At 35.9% G+C, this 17,555-nt stretch overlaps 1 protein-coding gene and 1 pseudogene across 18 annotated transcripts in view; one reads left to right on the forward strand and one right to left on the reverse strand.

The window, feature by feature from the left end:
* The window catches only part of SENP7 (SUMO specific peptidase 7), a 189,008-nt gene that overhangs the window by 78,385 nt on the left and 93,068 nt on the right, over positions 1-17,555 (reverse strand). For 12 of the 18 annotated variants that reach the window (XR_007095714.1, XR_007095713.1, XM_017006926.2 and 9 more), the window contains one exon: positions 15,004-15,201. The exons of the other annotated variants lie outside the window; for them this stretch is intronic. Coding sequence is in view for 10 of the 12 variants with exons in the window: in XM_017006926.2 (XP_016862415.1) it covers positions 15,004-15,201 (198 nt within the window). In the remaining 2 variants the exon portion in view is untranslated. The remainder of the gene's footprint in view (positions 1-15,003; positions 15,202-17,555) is intronic. 18 annotated transcript variants of the gene reach the window in all.
* On the forward strand, positions 11,613-13,347 carry FAM136CP (family with sequence similarity 136 member C, pseudogene; annotated as a pseudogene).

Here is a 17,555-nt window from a genome sequence, read left to right on the forward strand (position 1 = left end):
CTGGGCGACAGAGCAAGACTCCGTCTCAAAAAAAAAAAAAAAAAAATGCTAAATCTACTTTGCCTGTACTCTAAAAATGGAACTACAATGTCTGGATGACTGGATGACAGCACATCTGTTTACAGCGTGGATCACTGAATCACTTAACACCATCTTTGAGAACTGCCACTCAGAAAAAAAATAAATAAAATTCCTTTCAAAATATTACAGCTCGTTGACAATGCACCTAGTCACCCAAGAGCTCTGATGGGGAGGTACAAGAGAATTCGTGTTGTTTTCATGCCTGCTAATAAAACATCCATTCTATAGCCCATGGATCAAGAAGTAATTTCAAGTTTCAAGTCTTACAATTTAAGAAATACATTTCATATAGCTACCACAAACAGTGATTTCCTCTGATGGGTCTGGGAAAAGTAAACTGAAAATCTTCCGGAAAGGATTCATCATTCTAGATGCCTCTGCATAAAACAACAAAGGTAACAAAGTACAGTGAAGTTCACATTTTCACTTAAACAAAAGTATACGCATATACTTGGAGACAGGGCCAGTTCAGTTCCAGACCCCCGCCATAAAGTGAGTATCACAATAAAACACGTCACACAAATTTTGTGGCTTCCTAGTGAATATATAATTATGTTTACACTATACTGTAGTCTATTAAGTGTGCAATGGCACTATGACTAAAACAATGCACATCCCCTAATTAAAAATTTTACTATTTTTCCCTACATAAAGACACTATGTTCATTTCATTATGTTCCAGACAGCATAAAATTTTAGATCCTTGGAGAACTTTAAAATAAATTAGTCCTCTCTTTATTGTAAACATGAAGAACCCAACGCTCAGAAAAGTTAAATAAGCTGCCCAAGTATAAGTAGCTTTCCTAGTGGAAGAACCTGGGCCTGTTATCTTTGGGGGTTTTTTGTCTGTCCTATTACATTATACTACATCCTCAATGCTAATTTGCCAAAGGATTCCAGATAACTGAGATTGCCAACAGATACTTCAGGAAACTCTTGAAAATATCCATTTATACCATAATCAGAATAAAAAGTGCTGCAACAACTATCTAGAAAACCCGATAGTCTCAGCACAAAAGCTCCTTCAGCTGATAAAACAACTTGAACAAGGTTTCAGGATAAAAAAAATCAATGTACAAAAATCACTAGCATTCCTATATACCAACAACAGCCAAGTGGAGAACCAAATCACAAAGGCAATCTCATTCATAACAGCCACAAAAAGAATAATATACCTCTGAATACAGCTAACCAGGGAGGTGAAAGATCTCTATAAGGAGAACTATAAAACATTACTTTAAAAAATCAGAGAAGACACAAACAAATGGAAAAACATCCCAGGCTCATGGATAGAAAGTATCAATATTAAAATGGCCATATATCCCAAAGCAATTTACAGATTCAATGCTATTCCTATCATACTACCAACAACATTCTTCATAGAATTAGAAAAAACTACTTTAAAATTCATATGGAACCAAAAAGAACCCCATATAACCAAGGCAATCCTAAGCAAAAAGAAGAAAACTGGAAGAATCACCTTACATCCCTTCAAACCATGTTATAGGGCTATAGTAACCAAAACAGCATGGTACTGGTACAAAAATAAACACACAGACTAATGGAAAAGAATAAAGAGCCCAGAAGTAATACTACACACCTACAATTCTGTGATCTTTGACAAACCTGACAAAAACAAGCAATGGACAAAGGGCTCCATATTTAATAAATGATGCTGGGAAAAGAACTAGCCATATGCAAAAAATTGAAATTGAACCCGATTTTTACACCATATATAAAAATTATCTCAAGATGGATTAAAGACTTAAATGTAAAACCTAAAAGTATAAAAAACCTAGAAGAAAATTTAGGCAATACCATGCAGGACGTAGGCAGGCACGGGCAAAGATTTCATGACAAAAATGCCAAAAGCAATTGCAACAAAAGCAAAAATTGACAAATGGGATCTAATTAAACTAAGGAGCTTCTGCACAGCAAAAGAAACTATCATTAGAGTGAACAGACACCCTATAGAATGGGAGAAAGTTTTTGCAATCTATCCATCTAACAAATGTCTAATTTCCAGAGTTTACAAGGAACTTAAACAAATTAACATGAAAAAAAGCAAACAATCCCATTACAAAGTGGGCAAAGGACATGAACAGACACGTTTCTAAAGAAGATACACATGCAGACAATAATCATATTTTAAAAGCACAACATCACTGATCATTAGAGAAATAAAAATCAAAACCACAATGAGACGCACAGTGAGAAAACAATGTGAAGAGACACAGGGAGAAGACAGCCATCTACAAGCCAAAGAGAGAGGCCTGGCACAGGCGTTCTCTCACAGCCCTCAAAACACCTTGATTGGATTTCTTGCCTCCAGAATTGGGAACAAAAGGGGATAATGGTGGATGGGAGGCAGACTAGATTGCAGCTCTGACTCGACAGACAGAGCAGCATGTGGAAGCTCGCATCGTGAATTTTTGCTCCAGAACAACTGCAGGAATAAATCAGGAAGCCTAAGAGGACCCACACACCTCCTGAAGGAAGCAGAGTACACCAGCATGACCCAGGACACCCCAAATACTATGCTGGTATCCATGGCTGAGAGACCCATAGATGGTTCAGGTCACAAGACTCTGTGCAGACAACCGCCAGTACCAGCCCAGAGCCTGGTAGAATAGCTGGGTGGCTAGATCCAAAAGAAAGATAACAATCACTACAGCTCCGCTCTCAGGAAGCCACATCCATAGGAAAAGGGCGAGAGTACTATAATAAGGGAACACCCCATGGGACAAAGGAATCTGAACAACAGCCTTCAGCCCTAGACCTTCCCTCTGACAGAGCCTACTCAAATGACAAGGAACCAGAAAACCAACTCTGGTAATATGACAAAATAAGGTTAACACCTCTGAAAAATCATACTAGCTCACCAGCAATGGACTCAAACCAAGAAGAAATCCCTGATTTACCTGAAAAAGAATTCAGGAGGTTAGTTATTAAGCTAATCAGGGAGGCACCAAAGAAAGGTGAAGCCCAGTGTAAGGAAGTCCAAAAAATGATACAAGAGGTGAAGGGAGAAATATTCAAGGAAATAGATAGCATAAATAAAAAACAATCAAAACTTCAGGAAACTTTGGACACACTTATAGAAATGCAAAATGCTCTGGAAAGTCTCAGCAATAGAATTGAACAAGTGGAAGAAAGAAATTCAGAGCTTGAAAACAAGGTCTTCAAATTAACCCAATCCAACAAAGACAAAGAAAAAAGAATAAGAAAATATGAACAAAGCCTCCAAGAAGTCTGGGATTATGTTAAATGACCAAATCTAAGAATAATAGGTGTTCCTCTTTTACACTGTTGGTGGGACTGTAAACTAGTTCAACCACTGTGGAAGAGAGTGTGGTGATTCCTCAAGGATCTAGAACTAGAAATACTATTTGACCCAGCAATCCCATTACTGGGTATATACCCAAAGAATTATAAATCATGCTACTATAAAGACATATGCACACATATGTTTATTGTTGCACTATTCACAATAGCAAAGACTTGGAACCAAGCCAAATGTCCATCAAAGATAGATTGGATTAAAAAATGTGGCACATATACACCATGGAATACTATGCAGCCATAAAAAAGGATGAGTTCATGTCCTTTGTAGGCACACGGATGAAGCTGGAAACCATCATTCTCAGCAAACTATTGCAAGGACAAAAAACCAAACACCGCATGTTCTCACTCATAGGTGGGAATTGAACAATGAGAACACCTGGACACAGGAAGGGGAACATCACACACCAGGGCCTGTTGTGGAGTGGGGGGAGGGGGGAAGGATAGCATTAGGAGATATATCTAATGTAAATGACGAGTTAATGGGTGCAGCACACCAACATGGCACATGTATACATATGTAACAAACCTGCACGTGTGCACATGTACCCTAAAACTTAAAGTATAAAAAAAAAAAAAGAATAATAGGTGTTCCTGAGGAAAAAGAGAAATCTAAAAGTTTGGAAGATATATTTTGGGGAATAATTGAGGAAAGCTTCCCTGGCCTTGCTAGAGACCTAGACATCCAAATACAAGAAACTCAAAGAACACCTGGAAAATTCATCACAAAAAGATCATCACCTAGTCACATTGTCATCAGGTTATCTAAAGTTAATATGAAGGAAAGAATCTTAAGAGCTGTGAGGCAAAAGCACCAGGTAACCTGTAAAGAAAAACTATCAGATTAACAGCAGATTTCTCAGCAAAAACCCTACAAGCTAGAAGGGACTGGAGCCCTATCTTCACCCTCCTCAAACAAAACAATTATCAGCCAAGAATTTTGTATGCAGCGAAACTAAGCTTCATATACAAAGGAAAGATACAGTCTTTTTCAGACAAACAAATGGGAAGAGAATTCGCCATTACCAAGCACTAAAAGAACTGCTAAAAGGAGCTCTAAACCTTAAAACAAATCCTAGAAACACATCAAAACAGAACCTCTTTAAAACATAAATCTCACAGGACCAGCTATTCTTATATCAGACAAAACAAACTTTAAAGAAACAGCAGTTAGAAAAGACAAAGAGGGGCATTATATAAGGACAAAAGGATTAGTCCAACAGGAAAATATAAACATATATGCACCTAACACTGGAGCTCCCAAATTTATAAAACAACTACTAATAGACCTACGAAATGAGATAGACAGCAACACAGTAATAGTAGGGGACTTCAATATTCCACTCACAGCACTAGACAGGCCATCAAGACAGAAAGTCAACAAAGAAACAGTGGATTTAAACTATACACTGGAACAAATGGACTTAATGGATATATACAGAACATTCCATCCAACAACCGCAGAATATATGTTCTATTCAACAGCACATGGACCTTTCTCCAAGACAGACCATATGATAGGCCACAAAACAAGCCTCAATAAATTTGAGAAAACTGAAATTACACCAAGCACTCTCTCAGACCACAGTGGAATAAAACATGGAAATCAACTCTAAAAAGAACCTTCAAAACCATGCAAACACATGGAAATTAAATAACCTGCTCCTGGTGATCACTGGGTCAAAAATGAAATCAAGATGGAAATTAAAAAACTTTTCCAACTGAACAACAATAGTGACACAACCTATCAAAACCTCTGGGACACAGCAAAGGCGATGCTAAGAGGAAAGTTCATAGCCTTAAATGCCTACATCAGAAAGTCTGAAAGAGCACAGACAATCTAAGGTCACACCTCAAAAAACTAGAGAAACAAGAACAAATCAAACCCAAACCCAGCAGAACAAAAGAAACAAGCAAGATCAGAGCAGAACTAAATGAAATTAAAACAAAAAAAATACAAAAGATAAATGAAACAAAAAGCTGGTTTTCTGAAAAGAGAAATAAAATTGATAGACCATTAGCAATATTAACCAAGAAAAGAGGAGAGAAAATCCAAATAAGCTCAATAAGAAACAAAACGGGAGATATTACAACTGACAACACAGAAATACAAAAGATCATTCAAGGCTACTATAAACACCTTTATACTCATAAACTAGAAAACCTAGAAGAGAAGAATAAATTCCTGGAAAGATAGAACCCTCCTAGCTTAAATCGGGAAGAATTAGGTACCCTGAACAGACCAATAACAAGCAGTGAGATTGAAATGGTAATTTAAACATTACCAACAACAAAAAAAAGCCCAGGACCAGACGGATTCACAGCAGAATTCTACTGGACATTCAAAGAAAAACTGGTACCAATCCTATTGACACTATTCGACAAGATAGAGAAAGAGGGAACCTTCCCTAAACCATCCCATGAAGACAGCATCACCTTAATACCAAAACCAAGAAAGGACATTAAAAAAAGAAAACTACAGACCAATACCCCTGATGAACACAGATGCAAAAGTCCTTAACAAAATATGAGCTATCTGAATCCAACAACATGTCAAAAAGATAATCCACCATGATCACATAGGTTTCATATTAGGAATGCAAGGATGGTTTAACATACGTAAGTCAATAAATGTGACACACCACATAAACAGAATTAAAAACAAAAATCCCATGATCACCTCAATCGATGCAGAAAAATATTCAACAAAATCCGGCATCTCTTTATGATTAAAACTCTCAGCAAAATCGGCATACAAGGGACATACCTCAATATAATAAAAGCCATCTATGACAAACCCACAGCCAACATAATACTGAATGGGGAAAAGTTGAAAGCATTCCCTCTGAGAACTGGAACAAGACAAGGATGCCCACTCTCACCACTCCTCTTCAACATAGTACTGGAAGTCCTGGCCAGAGCAATCACACAAGAGAAAAAATAAAGGGCATCCAAATCGATAAAGAGGATGTCAAGCTGTCCCTATTTGCTGACGCTATGATCATTTACCTTGAAAACCCTAAGGACTCCTCCAGAAAACTCCTAGAACTGATAAAAGAATTCGGTAAAGTTTCTGGATACAAGATTAATGTACATAAATCAGCAGCTCTTCTATACACCAACAGCGACCAAGCAGAGAATCAAATCAAAAACTCAACCCCTTTTACAATAGCTGCCAAAAAATAAAAATAAAATACTTAGGAATATATCTAACCAAAGAGTCAAAAGGCCTCTTCTACAAGGAAAACTACAAAACACTGCTGAAAGAAATCACAGACAACACAAACAACTGGAAACACATCCCATACTCATGGATGGGTAGAATCAATATTGTGAAAATGACCATATTGCTACAAGCAATCTACAAATTCAATGCAATTCCTATCAAAATACCGCCATCATTCTTCACAGAATTAGAAAAAACAATTATAAAATTCAAATGAAATCAAAAAAGTGCCTGAATACCCAAAGCAAGACTAAGCAAAGAGAACAAATCTACAGGCATCACATTACCTGATCTCATACCATAAGGCCAAAGTCACCAAAACAGCATGGTACTGATATAAAAATAAACACCTAGATCAAGGGAAGAGAATAGAGAACACAGAAATAAACCCAAATACTTACAGCCAAGTGGATCTTTGACAAAGCAAACAAAAACATAAAGTGAGGAAAGAACACTCTTTTCAACAAATGGTGCTGGGATAATTGGCTAGCCACATGTAGGAGAATGAAACTGGAGCCTCATCTCTCACCTTGTACAAAAATCAACTCAAGATGGATTAAGGACTTAAATCTAAGACCTGAATCTATAAAAATTTTAGAAGATGACATTGGAAAAACCCTTCTAGACATTGGCTTAGGCAAGGATTTTATGACCAAGAACCCAAAACAAATGCAATAAAAACAAAGTTAAATTGCTCGGAGTTAACTGAACTAAAGAGCTTTTGCATACCAAAAGGAACAGTCAGCAGAGTAAACGGATAACCCACAGAGTGGGAAAAAATCTTCACAATGTATACATCTGACAAAGGACTAATATCCAGAATCTATAATGAATGCAAACAAATCAACAAGAAAAAAACAAACAATCTCATCAAAAAGTGGGGTAAGGATATGAATAGACAATTCTCAAAGAAGATATACAAATGGCCAAAAAACATATGAAAAAGTGCTCAACATCACAAATGATCAGGGAAATGCAAATCAAAACCACAGTGCGGTACCACCTTATTCCTGCTAGAATGGCCATAATCAAAAAATAGTAGATGTTGGCATGGATGTGATGAAAAGGGAACTTTTCTACACTGCTGGTGGGAATGTAAACTAGGACAACCACTGTGGAAAACAGTGCGGAGATTCCTTAAAGAACTAAAAGTAGAACCACCATTTGATCCAGCAATCCCACTCCTGGATATCTACCCAGAGGAAAGGAAGTATAGGAAAAAGCTACTTGCACACGTGTTTATAGGAGCACAATTCACAACTGCAAAAATGTGGAACTAACCCAAATGCCCATCCATCAACAAGTGGATAAAGAAACCATGGTATAGGCCGGGCACAGTGGCTGACGCCTGTAATCCCAGCACTTTGGGACACCAAGATGGGTGGATCACCTGAGGTCAGGAGTTCGAGACCAGCTTAGCCAACATGGCAAAACTCCATCTACTAAAAATACAAAGATTAGCCGGGCATGGTGGCACACACCTGCGATCCCAGCTACTCGGGAGGCTGAGGCACAAGAATCACTTGAACCTGGAAGGCGGAGGTTGCAGTGAGCAGAGACTGCGCCACTGCACTCTAGCCTGGATGACAGAGTGAGATTCTGTCTCAAAAATAAAATAAAATAAAATAAAATAAAATAAAATAAAATAAAAGAATTAGATATGGTATCTGTAGCAAAGTCCAATTCCTACTTTACTGATGACAAAAATTAAAGTTCAGAAGGGTGAAAATGCAAAGAGAAGCAGTATGGCACAGGAATTAACAGCAAGGACTTTGAAGTTAGACCAACATAGGTTTGGATTCTTATTTTACCACCTTATAACTATAAATCCTTGGGCAAGTTAATTACCATAATTTCTACCTCTACACATTGATCTTCTCATCTCTAAAATGGGAAGAATAATATCTCCCTTACAAAGTTGTTAAGATTCAATGAGATAATAGATGGAAAGCAGTTAGCATAATTCCTGGCACATAGTAAATACACAATAAATGGAATATCACTTAATTTTCATATTTCTGTAATAATTTTCATATTATTGTAGTCTTGCTCAAAGCTATAAACTACCCTTTCAAATAATACTTATAATTTACTATGCTCTGCAATCTTGATAAAAAATCTTATTAGATGTTTGCAATTTTCAATATACAATTAAAGTATATAATTAAACAGTTAGCAATGACTACAGTACACATAGCTCTTCATAGCACACAGCCACAGCCCAAACACCTTTCATCAACTATTGAAAACTTATCCAGTTTGGGTACCCTGAGGAAACAAGGAACTTTGTGTGATAGGCTTGAAGAACACAAATCTATAAACTGAGAGCTAAATTAACAATACCTAGCTGTCTTTTGCAGTACAGGTTTATAAATTAGCACAGTCAAGGACATTCCAGGGCTAGCCAGCATTTCAGAAGTTCTGAATTTCTGCAAGGAATTGAAGTATATAAAGGTGTATACTTCATCTTTCATACTATCTGAATCTGGAAGGAAGAACTAAAGTTGTCATTTCACACATTTACCCAATTTTTTCCTAAGTATGTAAACAGTATCAGTACGTAAGGTATTATTTATTTAATTTTATTTACTAATACTATGAAATCCCACTTCGAAATATCATAAATACACTAAACCAAAGCAGAAACAAATTTTGAAATGCAGTGAGAGGTAGCAGAAAGTATACTGGCCTGAGAAGTAGTATCATTTTCTGACTGTGTCTCTGCATGATTATTCTCTCTGACTCTTAGTTTTCTCAATTGCAAACTACAGGTTCCTTCCTTGTTTAAATAGCAAGGAAACTGTCATATTCAAATAACTTAATAATGCAGGGAAAACTCTGAGGAACTAGAAAGAGCTATTAACATACAACTTCATATATAGAGCAAATTTTTAGAGAAATGAAGTCTTTGCTGAAAGATAACATAATTATATCCATTAATAAATCTATAATGAGCCAAAAATTACAATACTAATTTAGTTTTCATTTTGCTGCAATGAATTCCTTTCTAAAATTGTGCTATGTGGCATTTTAAGAGGATTCTCATAACTCTATGCTTGTCCCAGATGATATAATTTAAAATATACCTTCTAAATCAGCATCTTAAAGGTATGTATAAAAAATTTAATCTTTGAGTAACTTTATTAAAGAGATTCACAGATTAGTTTCTAAATTTGTTCTTTTATTAAGCTAAATTTTAAGTGAATAATTATCACTCAACTAGATTACTGGCTTTAAAAATCTTAAAATGACAGGAACACTGCAATATCCAAATAGTTTTACCATCACATATCTGGAATACGTAATTCTTTTTAATTTTAAACACATATAAATTTAAGACAAAGATAAATAAATATATTTACAGAAATTCCAAGTACCAGCAGCTAACTCTTCTTAATGGAATATGGGTACACTATCTCCATATTTCTCTAACGATCTCTGGTACAAACTGATGAAAGCAGAAGAAAGATAGTTTATTTTCTCAAAAGCCTTGTATAAGTGTCCCACTAGGTTCTTTCTTTCCTATTGACAAAGACTTATAGATGTCTGGAATTTTCTCCCAGGAAAATAGATATGAACCATACATGGAGATAAAACTAACACTAAAATGCAGTTTACATATTTTTAAAAAATAAATGTGCATTCCACATACTGCTAGTTTGATATTTCTAAAACTCTTTTGATACTGCTAAAACCCTTTTCTCCATTACTTACAAGATTGATTTGAACTGTCTTTTCTATTTTTCTTCTCAATTTTATCCTGAAATCAAAAAGCCAAACTGCCCTCACATAAAAGGCAAGATACTTAGTTCACTACTTTAGATTCCAGAAAGCAAATAAAATGTCCAACAAAATACCATTTCTGGAACTGAATGAGTAATTTCAGTTTACTCAATGATTAAACTTTAGGATAAAATTAAAATGCAAAAATAAATGTTTCTCCCTCTTATCTTTCTAAAATTTTAAGTCCTGAGTAGAAATGAAAATAAAACAAAAAGCCTCATATCAAAGTTAAGCAAAGACTGAAAAAAGCCTAAGTCTCCTATTATATATAGCAAGTATCAGGTAGAAAACATCTATCCAAAGCCATACACAAGAGTTCTCCAGTTTCCTTATTTGACGCTTGTAATATCTCTTTTCCTGGTTGTCACCAAAATTACTGAGTATATAATTGGTTCTTACAGGGAAAATATATGTTAGACAAAGAGTCTAGAGATGTAACTCTGGTGAGAAGCAATCTCTTTCTTTTATCCAGCAAACATTAATTGAGCATTTAATAAGTGTCCAGTACTATATTAGGAATAAAGAAAAAATAAGAAATAAAATATAGTTCCTATCCTCAGGAAGTTTGCTACAGGGAGGAAGAGAACTAAAAATCACAACATAGTGTGATAAGCGTTATGATATACTAACAAGCTGTTTAGCAAGAAAAAGAAAGGGATCATATATAGATTTGGAGGGTGGAATCAAGGAAGGCTTCCTTAAAAAAAAAAAGGGAGGGGGGGGATAGTTTCCAAGACAAGAAAACAAACAGGATGTATACAACAGTATATACATTCAGTAAGCTGAAAATAGTTCCCTAAACCTGAAGTACATTGTGAATATGGAGGAACAGACAGACACAAAGCTAGAGATAAGCAAAGGCGAGATCATTAAGGGCCTTGTGTGCCAAACTAAGAAGTTTGAACTTTATCCAGAAGATTATGTGGAGCCATTGAAAGATGTTAAACTAGTAAGTGGCAAGTAAGATCTGCCTTTTAGAATAAATATTTTGACAACAACATAAAGAATAAAACAAGAAGAAAAAGACTACGTAAAGGAAACCTAATCAAGTTACTACCATAGTAATAAAGGCACGAAGTTATTAGGGCTTGAACTGATGCACTGGCAATAAAGATGGAGAACAGATCCTTTAAAAGACAGATTTAGGGGTTAAAAATAACTATATATGGCCGCACAGCATGGGGCAGTGTGGGGTCACCATAACAGCTACAGCAGCTGCAGGTGACGAGTGGTAGAATCGATGGTGAAGAGTCTGGAGAGAGAGAACATCCGGAAGATGCAGGGTCTCATGTTCCGGTGCAGCACCAGCTGCTGTGAGGACAGCCAGGCCTCCCTGCAGCAGGTGCACCAGTGCATCAAGCACTGCCATGTGCTTCTGGCTCAAGCCCAGGCTTTGGTCACCAGTGAGTTGGAGAAGTTCCAGGACCACCTGGCCCAGTGTACCACGCAATGCAACAACAAAGCCAAAGATTCAATAGCTGCTGGGAGTAAGGAGCTTCAGGTGAAGCAGCAGCTGGACGGTTGTGTGACCAAGTGTGTGGATGACCACATGCACCTCATCCCAACTATGACCAAGAAGATGAAGGAAGCTCTCTTAGCCATTGGGAAATAAAAGTCTTTGCCAGTGGCCATGGGGGCTGAGGGCAAGAATATATTTTTTATAAGGCATTTGGGAACTTTAGTATTTTAAGCAAAGTTTATGAATGAAGAAATTAAGGATGGCCACAAGTGTAATGCATATGTCACTTGCCTCTAGACACTGGTTCTTTCATGTTTCAGTCCTAAAACATGAAATGGAAAAAAGTGGTGTTAAATTGGGTCAGAGATTTACAGGAGAGTTTTAGATCTTATATTTCCTGTGGCCAGTGCTTGTCCTGGCAGTAAGGATCTCCCCTGTAACAGGCCAGAGCCCTCCAACACACCAGACTCTTCTTACTACACAGGTACCAATAGGCTGGCAGGTTAGAGTTGGTGGAGTTTGAAGAAAGATATTTTCTCTTTGTTGCCAACATCCTGTTTACCAGAAGTGTCACCACACCATTTTCCATAAGCTGTGAAACAAAATCCATGAGGTCACTAACTTAGAAGGGAAAAAAAAGTTTTCTGGGTCTTTGTTTTCTTGGTTTTGTGTAATTTATACAAGGGCATACAAGTTGATTTTAAGATGTGGAATTGGGAGGGAGACTAGTTTAGATAAGAACTTTGAAAGGTTCCTTGATCCCCATTTCTGGTCATCAAGATGTGGATGTACATTTCTTAAAATTATTACATGCTGCATCTTTCAGCCTGGAGACCATGCAAAAACATGAGAGGCGAGGACACACTAATTACGGGAAGCATAATTACTGCCTGATGGACCCTGAGGCTGTGTGTAGCAAAATGACAGGACAATCTTGCAGTAACACTTTCCCCTTGGAAGAGAAAGGGGTTTTGATTGTGATATATACTAGTATCTAGGAATGAACAGTAAAAGAGGAGCAGTTGGCTACTTGATTATAAAAGTTATGAAGTACTGGATTTGGAAAAACCTGGTTTTTATAGAACAGATAGAATGAAAGCCTAAACCTAGCATTACATACTTAGCCCCCTGAATTAACAGAGCACAACTAAGACAAACCCCTGGCAGCAGGAAATTCAAGGAAGAAAAAGTAAGCAACTTGGGCTAGGATGAGCTGACTTCTTTAAAGCAAAGGAGAGGCAGCCCCCATTACCAAATACCATTTTTGCCTGGGGCTTTTGCAACACAGTGTTCCTGCCCCAGCATGGCACCTTATTGTTTTGATAGCAACCTCATTGTATTTTCACCAACTTATTACTTGAAGTGATAACACAGCCTGTCCATTTACTGTTTCCAGGCTATGATATATTTTCCTAGTGGTTTGGTTTTAAAATTAAATAAGGTTTAATTTTCTACCGCCCCCCAAAAAAATATATATATGTATATATGTTAAATGACTGGATATAAGGATAAGGAAAAAAGAGGAGTCAAAGACAATTCCCAAGTTCTAATTTGTAAGTAGTGTCAATCACTCAGATAGAGGGGAATACAAAAACAGGCACAAGTTTGAGAAAAGATGAGGTTCTCACTTTACAACAAGTTGAGTTTAGGACACCTGGAGCTGAGGAAAGAGGTCTGGACTAGCTGGTAGCTCACCCACTAACTGAACAATAGACAACAACAATTTTAAAACACAGCAAAAAACAAATTAGAATCTTACTGGGACTCTTTACTTCATATTATATTTGAATTTCATGAGCACATAATCTATGTGCTAAAAATTCCTAGTGGTAAAACTATTATTCTGAGAGAATGGACTACCACACTGTTCTGATTGGAAAAAGGACAGATGTAGGATGAGGCGATTGATGAGTTTGTTGTCATTTGAAGAGAGTTTAAAGGTTCCTTTCAAAAGAGTCAAAGATATTAGAAAGCCATTCCTTTAAGTAGCCCTTTTATTTACATCTGTCAGTGCAGTAAGAGATTAACCTGTACTGGGGAAGAAATCTGCTAGAACATAGAATGAGAGCAAGCTGCTTCATAAATTACTGATGCTAAGCTGTCTGACTCTTAAGATTTACAGTGTTTTAGAAAATTAAATTTATATCAGGTATGAGCTAGTAAGAAATTTCTTCGTTAAACTTGGCTTTTTATGATTTTGTCTTTTTAAAAGAAGTATTCTCTTTAAAAATTAATGTGTAATATCTTCAGATGTTTTGACAAGAATTCTACTTTTATTTTAAAAATAACTGTGTTGAAAGTTAGCAGTTTTTATCTGGGTCTTGGTTTAAAGTACTTATATACTGTCATTCAGATTACAGACCATATAACCAAAGTACTGTCTCGCTAATTGTAAGTTATTCTAACTGAAAATAAAGTACCTTCCCTCCAAAACATTCATTTAATGGCTGAAATTGTAAATCGTGATGTATAAAAGATATTATGTTATAGATTCCTAGAGCTAATTCCTAGTTTTCAGCCCCAAACTCCCATATAATTCTTTCAAAAAACACAAAACAGAAATTGGTCTTGTTACTCTACAAAATTAAACTGAACATTTACTATTAAAAACCTAGAGGCAATATTTTAACATCATCTCCTGTTTTAAAAATTCATTTAAAATACAAGCTCAAAAAAGTCAAAAGTGGTTAGGATCTAGATTAGATAACATTTTGAAAGAATGTTAAAGATGAAGAAAATATTAATGCACATATATACACACACATTTATATGCATATAATACATATACACACACGTATATATATGTATCTTCATTTTAATCATAAAATAATCCCTAAAAAGATGTGTACATGTATCAAATTTAAATAAGTTAAATGTACTAATGATACTCGTTTTTAAATATAATTCCATGTCAATCTGCTTAATGAAGTACAGAAACATCAGCTAACTCTGTAAATTAAGATAGGCAGCTTTAAGATTTGCTTTAGAGTGTGGTATGCCTATATATGCAAATCTCCTTTCAGGTCATTTCAACAATTTTATCATTAGGAGTACGGGATTCATATTATTTCAAATGTGGTAAGTTGAACAAAATCAATACTGAACAACATACCTTTCAGATAAATTAAGGCTTTGGCGAAGAGGTTCTAATTTTTGACATGTCTCTAGGCTGTCAACAGATGTCGAAGGCAATGAGTCTGATTGCACCTTGTTGGCATCACATAAATTAGCATCGTTTCTAGGTAGGGTCTTTCTGAATTTTCGTCCTAAATCCGTCCATAGGACATTCGTCAACATAACTTTGAGTTGCCTGTTATACACATAAATAATTAGTATATATGGTACTACACATTGTAGAATACATGAATTCATCACAAACTAATATCTCCAGAAACTGTAAACTTCAGTTCCTCAAGCAACTATAGTAAATACCCTAAGAAAAAAGAAAAAATGCCTAACTATTATCAAAGATACCTTAAAAAGTAAAATCTATTTCACTTAAGTTGGGATTTTCTTCAGAATTCTGTCAAGTTTACTACAACTATCATTACACATGTACAGCTGCTAGACTCCTGGCAATGCATTCATGTTTATTAACAATGTTAGTTGAAGGACAGTGTTCATTTGCAGATCTCATCACAGATGTAACCACTGTTTGTGCTAAAAATGTGTTTTTGTTTTAGCATTTGTTGATTCAGAAAACATTATTAAAACTAAGGGTCCACTACTGCATCACTTACATTCTTAAGGCTATACAGTCTTAAGATACAGATTTAATTTTATCTTATTTCTAAAATAGGTCAACTTAAAAAATTTACCTTACTGTACCTATACCAATTTCAAAAAAAAAAAAAGACTGACAAATGCAAGCAGTTCCAGCAACACTTTTGCCCATCATGTTTTACCCATCTTCTCATTCAATACATCTTTATGCTGAATATTTGAATAACTATGTTTAGTTCTGGAATTCCAAAAACTATGGAATATAGTTTCTGCAGTGGTGTGAACAGGCTACCAAGTGCATTTAAAACAATGTCAAGTGAGGAATGGCTGAAAGTACTGGGAAATGTTTAATCAGAAGAGTGTCTATTTTACTACCTATGAAACAGTTTTAGGCACTTTTTGTTTGTTTGCTTAACAAACACAAGAATATTAAGAAACAGCAATATGTTCACATATTTTCAAGATAAAACGGGAACTCTCAAAAAAAAAAACCACTTGTTTGCAGCAGCCATTTGAGTGTATATCCCCAAACCATCTAGTGGGAAGAGGGTACAAGTTCCCAGGGTACTTCCATAGAACACTGAAAACTCCAAACATGTTGCACACACACAAAAAAAAATTAAGCTATTAGTTTTAAAATTATTAAAAAATAAATGACATCTCTATGGATCAATAATAATTCATTCTACAAGCACTTACTGAACATCTTCCAGCAAAACAACGATGCTAGTATAATCTGGAGTTTCAGCTACAAACAAAATAGTTGAGTTTTTGCCTTCATGGGGTGTACATTACAGAGAATAAACCAATTCATTATTTAATTAGAATTCTAATATGTGCTATGAAGAAGAAATACAGATGTTGCACTTCTTCTGAGCCAAGTTTCTGAGAATATGACCTTGAAGCTGAAGTCTCAAAGAAGGACAGGCACTATCCAAAGGAAACAAGTAAAAAATGGAGAAAGGTCCAAAAAACAGGACAAAATGCAAATGTTTTGAGTAAAGCTTCTTCAAAGAAATTAAAGGACTTACCTGACTCATGTACTTAGAATAAAGAGGTAATGTGTCTAAGAATGGGCAGTTAGGCAGGACTTAGCAAACCATATTAAGGATGTGAGACTTTATGTCAACAACAATGGAAATCCACTAGTCTTAATTAGGAAACACTGAGATCAGAGCTACACTTTTAAAAGATCATTTTGATGTTTATGAAGAATAAAATGGAAGTGCTAGGAATAATGAGGAATAAAAATTAATTTACGGAGATGATGACTTTATCAGAGGTAGTTTAGAAGAATGGTGGGAGCAGAAACCAGAATACAGTGGGATCAGCAAAGGGAAAGGAGCAAAGGGATATAGCAAATGAAAGTAGTTGAGAAATATGGTTGTGAAAGTGGAAAATAAGACAAGACCTGAAAATAGACATGAGAAGCAGGAAAGGGTTTTTAGTCAGTTACTGGTTGATTAGTTAAAGATAGGAAAGATTTGTGTAAGTTTAAATGCTTATGGGAAGCACGTAAGGGTTAAAGACACAGAAGGCAGGATAATTAACACAGTAAGTTTCCCAAGAAATTGCATTAAGTGCTAATATTTATTGAACATGTACTATATACCAGGCACTGTGCTAAGCATTTTACAATGATTTATTTCATTTAATCCTCACAACCACTCCATGAGGGGCTTACAAATTATTCTTCTCATGCAGCTGAGGAGACCAAGATAGGCTGATTAATATCTAAGTAAAACGAGTGAGTAGTGAAAATGCGATTCAGAACCACACACTCTCAAATTTCTTGCCAGCACTCTTAACTGCTTCACACTACACTGGTTTATGACAGGAGAAGAGGCATTCCAACCAAGACCTTCTCTTAAAAGTGATAGGAGGCCAGGCGCTGTGGCTCACGCCTGTAATCCCAGCACTTTGGGAGGCCAAGGCAGGTGG

The sequence above is a fragment of the Homo sapiens genome, chromosome 3 (genome assembly GCF_000001405.40).
Source record: "Homo sapiens chromosome 3, GRCh38.p14 Primary Assembly".
Classification (NCBI taxonomy): Eukaryota; Metazoa; Chordata; class Mammalia; order Primates; family Hominidae; genus Homo; species Homo sapiens.